Source organism: Homo sapiens, chromosome 18 (genome assembly GCF_000001405.40).
Source record: "Homo sapiens chromosome 18, GRCh38.p14 Primary Assembly".
In the NCBI taxonomy this organism is placed as follows: domain Eukaryota; kingdom Metazoa; phylum Chordata; class Mammalia; order Primates; family Hominidae; genus Homo; species Homo sapiens.
The window spans coordinates 46,683,083-46,696,523 of NC_000018.10; the positions used below are offsets into that span (position 1 = coordinate 46,683,083).

Here is a 13,441-nt window from a genome sequence, read left to right on the forward strand (position 1 = left end):
TTAACAATACATTGTTCAGGGGTACATCTACATATGACAAAACAATTTTTAACAATGAGAGAATGATTAAGTACTCAATTCAAGGTAGCGATACCTTCAGGGGGAAACGGAGGTAGAATGGGAAGGAGCACACCAGTTGATACAAAGGCACCATACAAACATTCAACTTCTTAAATCAAGTGGTTGGTCTACAAATATTCATTTTATTGTTTTGCTTCATACTTATGTGGTACAAATATTCTTCACATCAAATACTACATAATGAATGAATAATAAATTTTGAAATAAGCAGGTGTTAGCTGGTTGAATGTGGAACTCATGAGCATTCCAGACACAGGTCCTGTGCAAAGGTCCTGTGGTAGATGAGAACAGGAAGCACCCAGGAGTGACTGTGGCCCGGTGACTGGAGCACAGGCAAGGTGGGAGTGGTACAAGCTGAGGGCAGAGAGGGAAGAAGGGGCCAGACTATAAGGGACGGTGGGCCATGTGAAGAATGCGGTCTTTCGTCAAGGGGAAGCCATGGGTTTAAGGAATAATTGTGCAGAAGAACCCTATTCTATAACAGGACCAGGACTGTCACCTACTTTATGATCCAACCATACCCCTCTCTATCAGACCACTATGAAAGGCAGGTTTTATATTGTCCTTAAAGATTGAGTGCGGGAGGGGGTGGGGTGTGTGCAGTCAATTACCATTTTTTTGAGCATCTGTGGCATGCCAGGAACTTTCATAGGATTATATGAGACATCAATAACCTTGGGTGGCAGATATTAGGCTCACTGTGTTGCAAATGAGAAACCAGGCATTCAGAGGGTCAAGGGACTTGCTGCTATTAGGTGGTCAAGGCAGGGTGGAGGACGGGCCTGTCTGACTCCAAGCCTAGGTCTCGTTCCTAGTGCAATAGCATCTAGGACATGCCTAGAACAGGACGGAGTCTCAGGGCATCTTGGCGTGCACATACAGGCACCCAGCAAGGCTTTGCTGCTGCTGTACTGCTATGATGATGATGACGATGAGGATGGAAGGGCCCACAGCATCTCCAAAAGTAGCACAAACAACTGTGTGCTCTCACAGATCTTAACAGATCTTAGGTGGTGGGACAAGAGACCAGCCCCTCCGAGGGAGACATTTACTATCATATTATCGAGCTAGAGAAATGACATGGTATCACAGAAAGAATGCAAGACCAGAAGTGTATCCCATTTCTGACTATGAATAGCCCCATGACCCTAGCAAGGAATATCATCCCCTCCCAAAAAATTGTTTTTTATCTGTAAAATGAGAGGAATATTTTAAAATAACATTTTCCTTATAATAAAACTTAGTATGTGTCCTGCAGTGTTTGAAGATTTTAAACATATTAATTCATTTATTCCTCATACTGACCCCAAGGGGTAGTTACTATTATCATCCTCATCTTTCATTTTAGGAGATAAAGGCAGAGTGGCTAGGTAACTTACGCAAAGTAACACAGCTTTTTCTAACTCAAACCAGGCTCCCCAGCTTCAGAGCCTGTGGACAGAACCACTATACGCTCCACTTCTTAGCCCTGAAAATCACACAAGTCCATTCTTTCATTCACGCCTTCATTCCTTCATTTAAGACTAATTTTTCTGAGTAGTTATGTTGTGCCAATTACATCAGTTACTGTAAACAGAAGTTCTCTTTGTGTTTCCAGCCTGCAAGAGCGAGACCACTCAGCGGGTCCCTGGTTATAGGGTTAGGTTGTTAAAGGCCTCATGATAGGTGGACACCAGGTTCCGTGGGAGCCCAGAAAAGGGTGCAAGTGGGTTTAGCCAGGGAAGGAGTGGGTGATTCTTGAGCTAAGCTTGGAAGGACAAGCGGCAGTTGGCAACGCAGGATGTAGGGGCTGGGGAGACAGCATTCCAGGCAGAGGGAACAGGACCTGGAAGCGCAGTTGCCGGCACTAACTGGGCTCTAATGGTGTGTCCAGTGCTGGAGGTACTAAGAGCTATACAATCATTATGTGATTTAATCCTATAACTGATGGAGCTGCTATCCTTATCCCCATTTTGCAGATGAGGAAACCAAGGCCCAGAAGGGGGACATGACATTCCTGAGGTCATGTGCCTAGCAATGCTGGAGCCTGGATCAAAGTTCAGGGAGACCCCAGAGACCTGGGCTTCTCCCCAAAAGACCATCTTGAAAGAGGCTTTCCTTGCCTTTCCTGGCAGGAATGTGGCTGGGCTAAGGAGTCAGTGAGGGCCAGAGATTTCGGTGTTGGAGGAAGCTTAACCTTCAATTCTGGACTCGACTAGGCGTCCACAGGGAGCACATGGGCAGACTCCAGATCACAGAGAGAGGTGTGTCTCTCACACTCCGCCTGTGACAGCAGGTGACGCAGGGTGTCCAAGGCTTCCTTCTTCTAGAGACAGGGGCTGGGGTTGGACAGCCAAGAACCCGAAATATGCAGGAGTCCCTTTATTTAAGGACCTCAAATCACACCAAACCTGCTCTACCCTCCCTAACCTGACACCAACTGAGTGGCCCGATGATTGTGGATCCATGCTTCATGCGACCCCACTGCAGACTCAACCCAAGTCTCTTTGCTTTAAGCTTTTATTTTCAACCCACCTTCTTCACCCCAGCTAAAGATATAAATGAAGATCCACAAAGAGATAAGAGGGGGGCTTTACGGAAGGAAGAAGTGCAAGGACCAGTCTCTGGCTTAGTTAAAGCCAGGGTGAAGCCAATATTGGTGTCTGCCACAAGGCTTCCCTGGTTCCAACCACTGCTTCTGGAAGGGCAGCACCCACCCAAGGAGACGGTGCCCAGAGGACCTCCCGACACAGCTGCAAGCTCCTAAGTCCTCAGTGCCTTCAAATCTGTGATGTCCTTTGCTCTTAACACATCTCCCATTGTGCAGATGTGGAAACTGAGGACCTAGGAGTTCAACGACTTCCCCAAAGGGATGGGGCTGGAGAGAAGAAGGGATATCCCAGACCTGAGGGTCTGCAGGGGTGGGAAGTGGGGATTACTTGCTTAAAGGGTAGCATTAGGGAACCGGGGGAAGAATATGGAGGAGAGGGCCATGGGGTAGTGGCAAGGGCAGTGCCAGGGTTTCTTTTACCGGAAGACGAAGTCGGCGCTGTTGATCTCCCTCCCGCAGCGGCTGTTCTTCAAGATGCCTCCGTTGCCCACTACAGCACACTTCTTAAACTGGGACCGGTAGTAGGGCATGTCCTGGGGGAGGCACAGGCACAGCTGTCAGAGCCAAGCCACCCCCTGCCTCGACCTGCTACTCTCACCTCTGCAAGCACACCCACCTATATTAGCTCCTGGTCCCAAGAGGCAGCCTTGTGGGGAATGTGGGAGGAAAGCGGCTTTCCACTTTACAGATGGGAAGAGTGGTTGAGAGTCTTGTTACTATTAGATGGCACCAAAGGCCACTCCCATCCCTGAAGCCCAGGGCCTGCTGGGCAGCTTTCCTCCTGGCACACAGCGGCTGGCAGACCTGCATGAAATGGGCCAGGCCTGCAGCCTGGGCTTCCGGTGGGACCAGCAGCCTGGTGGGGTCTCATGGAGAGCCATGCTGCCCTGGGGCCATCAGGAATCAGGCTAAATTTAAGGGGGACTTCTGCGGGAGACTGTCCTTATTTGTGGTCCATTTTCCCTGGATGGACAGGCCCAGTGAGCCAAGGCGGGGAAAACAGGGGCCTCTCACAGCCAGTAGGTGAGTAAACTGCACTATTAGACTTGTACCAGAGAAAGGCAAAAAAAAAAAAAAAAATAGTCATTTTCAGAAAAATCATCAAAAGTTTATTATGTTCCATATGGCTGTTTCCTAAACTTCTGTAAGTTAAGAATTACCTGGGATACTTTCTGAAAATATAAATTTCTGGGCTCCATCCCAGCACCACAGAATCAGAGTCTCACAGATAGGAGGCTGGGAAGCTGAATTTTTTACAAAGAGATACTTACATTTAGGGAAGTTCAGGAAATGTGATTCTATGTCACATTGCTTTAATTCAGGGACAAGCGAACTACATACAGCCCGTGGGCCACATCTGGCCTACCGTCTGTTTTTGTGTAACTTGCAAGCCAGGAATGGATTTTATATTTTTAAATGGTTGGAAACAACCCAAAGAAGAAACTATTTTGTGATACATGAAAACTATGTAAAATTCCAATTTTGGCATCTAATAAGATTGAAAGTGTTACTGGAACATAGCCACTCTCATTGGTTTACTCATGTCTGTAGCTGCTTTTGTGCTAGAATGATAGAGGTGAGTAGTAGTGACAGAGAGACTATGAACTGCAAATCCTAAAACAGTTACCGCCTGGCACTTTCTGGAGAATGTCTGGTGAGCCCTGCTGTCTGTCTCTGGCCTTCAGCGGTCCATAGGCTGCTTCTCCTTGGATCTGTATGTCATACTAAGTTGTGTTACACCCACTGGCATTACCTGCGTGAGATGCAAATCCACCTGCTGTCACCAGCCTCATGTTCCAGGCCTTGTAAGACCCACCTCATAAAGGTGGCTCAGCACCATCCTCCCTTAGGGCCACAGTGATTGAGAACACATTTGACGCCGCTCACCTGCAGCTCCTCCCCCACATCCCCAGAATGCATGAGTCTTACCTATACACTTTGGTACCAGTCACAGAATGCAGGGAACTCTGGGCTTTGTTTCGCACTCAGCCAAGAAGCAAGGCAGCCAAGGCCTTCAGATTTCTTCCAAAAAGACCTCTACATGCCCCCACTCAGAATTTCTATAAACTACATTCACTGAATGCTGTCCTGGGCCCAGAGCTCTCCTGAATGTGGTTATGAACACACCCATGCAACCTTCCTCCTCTTCAGAGTCCATACGCCACCACACCTGGGTAATTGCCAGAACTGGCTGAAAGCGCAGGTTCCAGCGCCCCTTCTCTGAGAGTAGTGCGGTGAGTCTGCACCAACCGTCAGCCCAGGTGATTGCAGGTGCTCAGCATCAGTGATCTGAACAGTTCACGTCTGCAGCTCACTCACTGCGGTCCTCAATGGCCAAGGTCAGTGATCTGAACCATTCAGGTCTGCGGCTCATTCATTTTGTGGTCCTCCATGACCAGGGAGCCACCGTGCCAGCCCTGCACAGCCTACCTCCAGAATTCTTTTATGTGAAAGGAAAAAAATAAATATCTATCTTGATTAAGACTCTGATATTTTAGAAGTTCTGTTATAATCAGCCAAATCTATTCATAGTCCAAGCCCCAGTGTTACAAATAAGGAGATTGAGGCTTTGAAAGACAAAATATCTGCCCACGGTCATCAAGTGAGCTGAATCTTTCAGAGTCTAGATCTGCACTGGGTTGTTCTTTCTTGTGCTCACAACTTCTGCATGTGCGTTTGCTCTTGTGCCTACCTCAGGAGGGGGACGAATGTGTTGTCATTCTCTCCCTATCTGCAGGATATCCTCTGCAAGCAATGCAATACCCAGAATTTTCTAGTCACTTTCTCGCCAAAAGTCACTCAAATCATAGACAGTTGGCAGTCATGGTTCTCAGACAGAACCCCCAAAGAAATCCAGAGGGTGGGCTTCTGCACCTCAGACAACTGGTCAACCAGGACCAAGACAACTGAGTCCAGAGGACCGTGAGTGAGTCAGGCAAAACCCCAGGGACATTGCCACGGAGGGCTACTGCTGGATTGGCTCCCTCGCCCCACCCAGACCGCCCCCGCCCAAAGCAGCACCTTGGGAAACATGCGGAAGATCTCCTGGTTGATGTGGTAGATGCCACTGGTGTCCACCTCATACTTGAGCTTTGTCCCCAGGGGAGTGTTCTTCTGGGTGGTGAAGAGAAAGGCAGGGGCGTTGCAGCACCTGGACAGAGTAGACCTGCCAGGCAGGGAGACAGGCAGGAAAGACGTGATGCAGGAAAGATGTGATGGAGGGCAGAGCACAACCTCACGGAGAACAGAGGGGTGGAGCCGAGGCCTCTCCTGCTCACCTATCCCACGCTTGCCCCCACCCTGCATGGAGCCGAGGCCTCTCCTGCCCACCCATCCCACACACATCCCCACCCTGCATGGAGCCGAGGCCTCTCCTGCCCACTCATTCCCAGGCTTGCCCCCAACCTACACCTCTGCTCATGCAGTCCCCTCCCTTTTCAACGCCTCTCCCAAGGCCCCTGCCTTCTGCCACTCATTCAGGGCCCAGGCCAGGCTTCTTTCCATGAAGCCCCACCCAGCTGCCCCTGTCTGCACTGTATGGAACTCCTCGACGGAGCCTGAGTCCTGGCCACTAATAGAGGGTAAGGAGGAGCTTTCCAAAGAGCTCCCAGCCAGGCCTGGCATGGAAACTTGGGCTGCCGTCCTGGTGTCAAGAGGCCTGGATTCTTGCTTCTGCTCTGCCCCGACCAGTTGTGAGGCTACTGGAAGGTCTCTCTCTTTCTCTCTGGGCCCTAGTTTCCTCATACAGGCTTGGCTCTTCTACCTCTAATCCTCTGTAATTTGTGATTCCAGCTTGCAAAAGCCAGGAATGTTTTATGATTTTTTTTTTTTTTTTTTTGAGACAGGGTCTCACTCTGTCACCCAGGTTGGAGTTCAATGGTGCGATCTCGGCTCACTGCAATCTTCGCCTCCTGGGTTCAAGTGATTCTTCTGCCACAGCCTCCCAAGTAGCTGGGATTACAGGCAAGCACCACCATGCCTGGCTAATTTTTTTTTTTTTTTTTTTTAGTAGAGTCAAGGTTTCTCCATGTTGGCCAGGCTGGTCTCGAACTCCTAACCTCAGGTGATCCACCTGCTTCAGCCTCTCAGACTCCCAAAGTGCTGGGATTACAGGTGTGAGTCACCATGCCTGGCCTATAATGTTTTTTTTTTTAATTTCATCTCTTGCAGGTACTTCACTGGGAAGCCTAGCTGGCTCCCAGTCACAGAGAGCAGAATTTCCTGTGGAGAGCTGGGTTTCAGAATGTAACAGAAGCTTCCCAGAGAGGAGACCAGAGGCCTGGCAAGGCAGGGCCATGGATTGGCATTACAAACTGGCATCTGGGCCTTTTAGCTTTGCTAGTTCAGAAGCTCAGTCTTGTCAGCCCACTGGAGATCACTCCTATTGAGGGATACTGACTCACACTAACCAAGCTCATAAGTGACTGATATACAAACCAGAATGTCAGTGTGCCTATTTGTAGGCAGCAGGGTGGGAGAAGGCCTGTTACAGGATTCATTTCCTGTAATTCGAAAGCTCATGCCTGCCTTCTAGCACCCACCTGACACTCCCTCATGGCACCAGGTTCCTGCCAGCCTGAATGAAGCATCTCATCATTGTTCCATGAGCTTGAAATGAGAGCAAAGGGAGGCAATGACCAGCCTGGAAGGTTTTCTCACTTAGAGCATGGCAAGGCCTGATGTCACTGCCTTTTCTCACACCTGAAACTGCTCCACACCCCTCATGCCCAGAGCTCCACCCCTGCACTGTGCTGTCTTGTCCCTGCCAAAGGCTCCCACACTCATCCCTGTTTTTCTCTTGCCACATCATTTCCCTATTGCTTCATGTTTCCTGAGATATGTGAGTCCTGCTGCTGAGACTTTTTTTTTTTTTTTTTTGAGATGGAGTCTCGCTCTGTCGCCCAGGCTGGAGTGCATTGGCATGATCTCCACTCACTGCAACCTCCACCTCCCGGGTTCAAGCAATTCTCCTGCCTCAGCCTCCCAAGTAGCTAGGATTACAGGTGTGCACCACCACACCTGGCTAATTTCTTTGCATTTTTAGTAGAGACAGGGTTTCACCATGTTGGCCAGGCTGATCTTGAACTCCTGACCTCAGGTGATTCACCCGCCTTGGCCTCCCAAAGTGCTGGGATTATAGACGTGAGCCACCATGCCTGGTCCACTGCTGAGACTTCTATTCTGCCCTAAGTCTGGACAACAGGCTTTTGCCTCTCACTGACCTGGTCCAGGCTGAGTGTTTTATCAGCCATACTCTCAGTGTGTCAGGTCTCACTCGCCCCCAGGGGCACCTCTGTGCAGTGTGCACAGTAACATTTCTAAGGGGCCAATTGGCAGCACAGATTATGGTTCTATTCTCTACTCTCCCAGCACTTTGCTCAAGCTCATGTTCTGTTTCTTATGATAGGTGAGTCTCTGCAAACTACTGTCAGGCCTTTGCTTGGTTTCTGTAGTCTCCCAGAGGCCTCTGGCACCTGATCTTCAAGTGTTATCACTTTAAACATTCGCATTTCTAAAAATGTGCCTCTTAAAACTACTACTCTACCTCTAGACTTGGTCTGGAGCTGCAGCAAATTGGAACAAATGATTTATAAAGAAAAAGCTTAGTCATCTTTGCTTTTCACAATCTTGTGCAGGACTCCTTCATGCTTAGAGCTCCTCAGTACATTTAAACTTGGACCTGAGTGCTGAAATCCAGTATAGACACAAATTGCCAGATTACATCAACTCCATAAAATAAGGTCTACCTGCACTAAAATAATCCCATAAGCTTACAGAACTTTAGAGATGGAGAAGACCCTAAAGTTCACCATCCATCAAAAAGAATTTTTGGACATCTGTTATTTGCAGAGTTCCCACAGGACAACTTTAAGATCCAGCTCTTACCTCTCTGGAAGTTTATAATCTGCTCATTTTGGTTAGAGAGCATTTATAAAATAATCTGCAGCAGGGCTCAAATGTCTCGTGGAGGCTGGAAGAACTCAAATGCTCTGAGAAGGAGAGAAGCTACTGGGTCAGAGCCGCTGCCCCAGGACAGGGGAGGTGAGGACCAGGAGGCTATAGAGGATGCGTAATGCACCTTCACACAGGCCTGCTGGAGACCGCCCACACATGCTTCCCTGCTAATAGCTTCAGTGAACCTCAGCTGTGTACTGGAGATGGCACCACCAACCTCACAAGGCTGCTGCAAGGACTAAGGGAGAGAAGGTGGAGGATAGCACCTGGGCAAGGTGCCTGCCTCAGCCTGCATGTTGAATCAGATCTCCCCCACTGCCCGGATTCCTAAGCCCAGTCAGGGTCTGCTCTGGGGAAGATGCACGCTGAGAGCTGGGCCTTGCAGGACAATGGAGACCAGAAGAGGTGGCAGTGAGGAGAATCATACAAGGAGAAGGGAGGACAGACGAATCATAGATACTTGAACTGGTTGGCCTCAGAGATGTTCATCGCCCATTTGCACATCTGGAGGCTCTTCCACCTGTCGAACAGCTCTGACTGCTTCACCCTTGGGAGTAGAGGACAGAAGAGTACATGAGCAGGGTAGGCGGGACAGAGCGCGATCATTCCCAGAAATGCTCCCTCCTGATCTCCCATAGGCCAAGTCCAGTCCTGGGGCTGGCCCTTGGCATTGACCATGTTTTCTTCTCTTTCTTTGTTTCTTTTTTTTTTTTAAGACAGGGCCTCACACCGATGTACAGGCTGGAGTGCAATGGTGTGATCTCAGCTCACTGCAACCTCCGCCTCTGGGGTTCAAGTGATTCTCGTGCCTCAGCCTACCGAGTAGCTGGGCCTACAGGTGCACCACCATGCCTAGCTAATTTTTGTACTTTTTGGTAGCGATGGGGTTTCACTATGTTGGCCAGGCTGGTTTCGAGCTCCTGACCTCAAGGGATCCTTCCGCTTCGGTCTCCCAAAGTGCTGGGATTACAGGTGTGAGCCACCGTGCCCACCTGGTATTTTCTTATTTTCTATATTCCTGATGCTCTGGCACCTGGTGCCTTGCTAATTCCTAGTTAGCAAACAACTGTCCTGCAAGTGTGCCTTTCATGTGCAAACCAACCAATCAGAGCCCACACCCTCAACCACCTCCTCACTGACAGGCCACCATCCCCTCCCCACCCCCCACCCTAATCATCCCAGGGCCAGGTATCGGACAAACAGAGGCAGTCCCTATGCCTCAGAGCCTGCCAGAATTATTCAAACTAGCCAATCCTAAACCTGGCTACCCTGCCGACCCTGCCTTATCCATTCCCTCCCCTGAAAACCTCAATAGTCTCACCCACACTTTCCCCTCACTGCTGCCTCCTGACCGGCCCTGGGGCTGCCCTGCAGGGCATGCCTCCTGTTTCTAGGGATCTGTGAGTATAACGTCTTACTTCATGATGGTCATTTTCATGTCTGCGTGTCCTACTGTACCTGATTAAAACAAATCCCAGAAACACTTTGAAACCTTCTCCCTCACGTGCCCACCCCCCAGGGCCTGCATAGTTCTCTTGGGAACATCTGTCTATAAAGAGAGTCAGACCCCAGTGGAACACCCATCAAACACCCACACAGTTCAGCACACAGTAGGGCTCATGAGCAGGGCATGCCCTTCTCTTTCTCCCTTCTCAAGGGTGGATCACAGTTTCCAAATGACAGAAAGGATGAGATGAGAAACCTGAGACTGCCCCTTCTCCCTGAAAAACCCTCGGCCAGCCTCTATGCTAGTTGGCATTTAAACATCTCAGCATCATGACATTCTAAAGCACTCTCAGGAAAGGGAACGTCTAAACCACACAGCATTCTCCCTTTGACCGAAACCTGCAAAAAGAACTCATTTTTAATTTACACATTTACATCGACTTATTTATAATTATGCATACATATAATCATTTCAGTGCTGTATCCCCAGCTTCTAGAACAGTGCTTAGCAAAATATAGATACTTGATAAATATTTATTGAGTGAATGACTGAGCCAAATCAAAAATACAAATTCCCACAAACACTAACTGACCAATATGAGATCCTCATGTACATTAACCTCAAATAGTCGCTCACCCTTCTTATCAGTTTCTCCCCTCTTTCAGCAGTGCCTAAGCTCAGAGCCAAGTCCACATTCCCAAGCTCTCTCTGTCACAGATCCGCTTTAGCATCTCCATTACCTATCCCTATCTTTAGTTACTCCTTCCGCATTTCAGTTAAGAAATTGTTCCTTGCATCCTAACCAATTCCTTCCTGCTTTCACTTACACTTGGTTTTGCGGGTGATTCTCCTATTCTACAGAAATGTCCAGAATTCTCTAGGATCCCAGCTGTTGAAGGTTCCACTGAGGCCCTGGCCTGGTGAGAGTCATGAGATCCAGAAAGATCCAGGAAGCTCCTCAAGCCAGGCCAGCACCCACTCCTTCTTAAGGAAGGGAGCACAAGACACATTATACAATTGGGCGAGCCCTTCCTGATGAACTCCAGATCTTTGGCAAAGAATTATGCATCTTTTTTTTTGTTTGTTTTTTAAGGTGGATCCTATGGTCAAATATAGTTGGGGAAAGCTGAGCTAAATAAAGTTAAATGCTTTTCTTTACTGCAAGACTTCTCAGATCCCTTAATATGTCTCATATATTGTGAATTTCCAAGAAAATTATTGGATCGTCTTTTTCCATTGAGTAGTTCGAAAAATTGTAATTCTACAGTAAAACTGCGAAATGCAGACAGATCATACACTCCTTAAAGGCAGCACCATGATTTCTCTCTCTTGATCATGCACAGTCCCCACTTTAGGGCCAGGCATTCTGTAGCTGTTTGGGGTCACCTGGCTGTGGCCCACTAAGAAGCTCATTAGTCTTGGGTGCTGGTGCAGACAGGAGCCCTTGAAAGGAAGCTGTCCTGTTTGATCATAAATGGGAAAGTGACCAGCCTTCAGGAGCTGAGTGTTACCAAGAAACTACTATCACTGTGGCTCTTACCCTGGGGTCCACTGAAGGGCTAAAGGAAGTGCCTGTACCCCCCGATTTTGTTATAGGCAAAATCCATGTCTATCCACCCACGTGCATATCTTTGGGGAGAATCTGAAGCTTTCTTCAGGTTCCTACAGGGGTCCATTATTTAAAAAAAAAAAGCAAATACCCACTTTAAAAACCCTTTTTAGGCCGGGCGCAGTGGCTCACGTCTCTAATCCCAGCACTTTGGGAGGCCGAGGCGGGCGGATCATCTGAGGTCAGGAGTTTGAGACCAGCCTGGCCAACATAGTGAAACCCTGTCTCCACTAAAAATACAAAAATTAGCCGGGCATGGCAGTGCGTGCCTGTAATCCCAGCTAGTTGGGAGGCTGAGGCAGGAGAATCGCTTGAACCCAGGAGGTGGAGGTTGCAATGAGCCGAGATTGTGCCATTGCACTCCAGCCTAGGCGACAGAGCAAGAATCCATCTCAAAAGAAAAAAAAAAAAAACCCTTTTTAAAAAAAGGGTTCATTTTGTAGAGGCATGTCCTGTGTTTAATTGGAGGTGGTAACAGTTGTCCTCAAACAAGGCAAGCCTCCCCTATAGGAAGAATACATAGCTGGCAGGGGAGGGGTGATTGCAGGAAAAGTCATGGAAGATAGTAACTAAATACATGGATTTTGGAACTAGTGGGACTTGGGCTAAGACCTAAGTCTTAGTTCAGATAGCTGCCAACTATGAGACCTCAGGCTGGTTATTTAACCTCTCTGAGTCTCAGTTTTCTCATCTATAAAATGGATGTAATAATAGTCTCTTGCCCTCCCAAATTTGTTGAAATAATTAAATAGGATGATGTGATAAAAGACTAGGCATGGCACCTGACACACAGAAAGCATCCAGTACATATAAGTTATTAGTATTGTTACACTGAACTGCCCTGACTATGCTCACTCACAGCCCCCTGTACTTTCCACTTTTGTAAAACCTATGACCTATCATGATTCCTGATCTTTCCCACTAGACAGTAAATACCATGGGGGCAGGGGATCAAGCCTACGCTCATCACTGTAACTCAAGTGCTAAGGCACATAGCAGATGCGTGGTAAATATTTGTTGAGTATACCAATAAGTTAATGAATTAATTGAAACACCTGAGTTCAAATCAAGTCTCACTATTTGTTGAGTTATCTCCATATGGCAGGAACTAGAAATACAGTAGTGAACAAAACAACCCCTTGCTTCCATGGAGCTTACACACCAATTGGGGAGGAAAATGGAAAACAAATATATAATGCCTTGCCAGGAAGTGGCAAGTGCCAGGAAGGAAAGTGAAGCAGGTTAAAGGGACGGGGAAGTGACTGTTTCAGACTGAGTGATCAGGGAAGGCTTTCCTGAGGAGGAGAACCTTGCACAGAGACCTGAAATGACACAGGAGTGAGCTGTGCAAATATCTGGGAAAAGTGTATTCCGGGCTGAGAGAAAAGTGAGTGCAAAAGCCCCAGCCTGGCAGCTTTCCTCCTCCCACCCTGGCTGACAGAAGGCAAACCTTCCTTCCAGCTTTCCCAAACCTCCCCTCTCAGGACCTCACAGGGTATGAGGGAGAGGTGCCATCATACAGCAACACCCTGGCTCACCCACTGCCCCCTGCCCCTTCCCACTCTCTGCAATCCACAGGCCCCTAGAGCAGCCCCCTATATGGCCACTGCTTCAAATGCCTTCTGGAAACACAGCCCTGGCAAAACTCTAGGCGGGGTTCCAAGCTCTACTGTTACCAGCGTCTGGGCCCTACTCTCTCTGCCTCCAATGCCCTCATCACACCCTGGACCAAGGTCAGGGCCTGGGACACCCAGCCTTG

General features: G+C 48.5%; 1 protein-coding gene across 3 annotated transcripts in view; it reads right to left on the reverse strand.

Annotated features, from left to right (window-relative positions):
• ST8SIA5 (ST8 alpha-N-acetyl-neuraminide alpha-2,8-sialyltransferase 5) overlaps positions 1-13,441 on the reverse strand; it is an 89,233-nt gene that overhangs the window by 15,262 nt on the left and 60,530 nt on the right. For all 3 annotated transcript variants that reach the window (NM_001307987.2, NM_013305.6, NM_001307986.2), the window contains 3 exons: positions 9,087-9,173; positions 5,693-5,837; positions 3,092-3,204 (listed from right to left, as the gene is read on the reverse strand). In NM_001307987.2, coding sequence (NP_001294916.1) covers positions 3,092-3,204; positions 5,693-5,837; positions 9,087-9,173 — 345 coding nt within the window. The remainder of the gene's footprint in view (positions 1-3,091; positions 3,205-5,692; positions 5,838-9,086; positions 9,174-13,441) is intronic.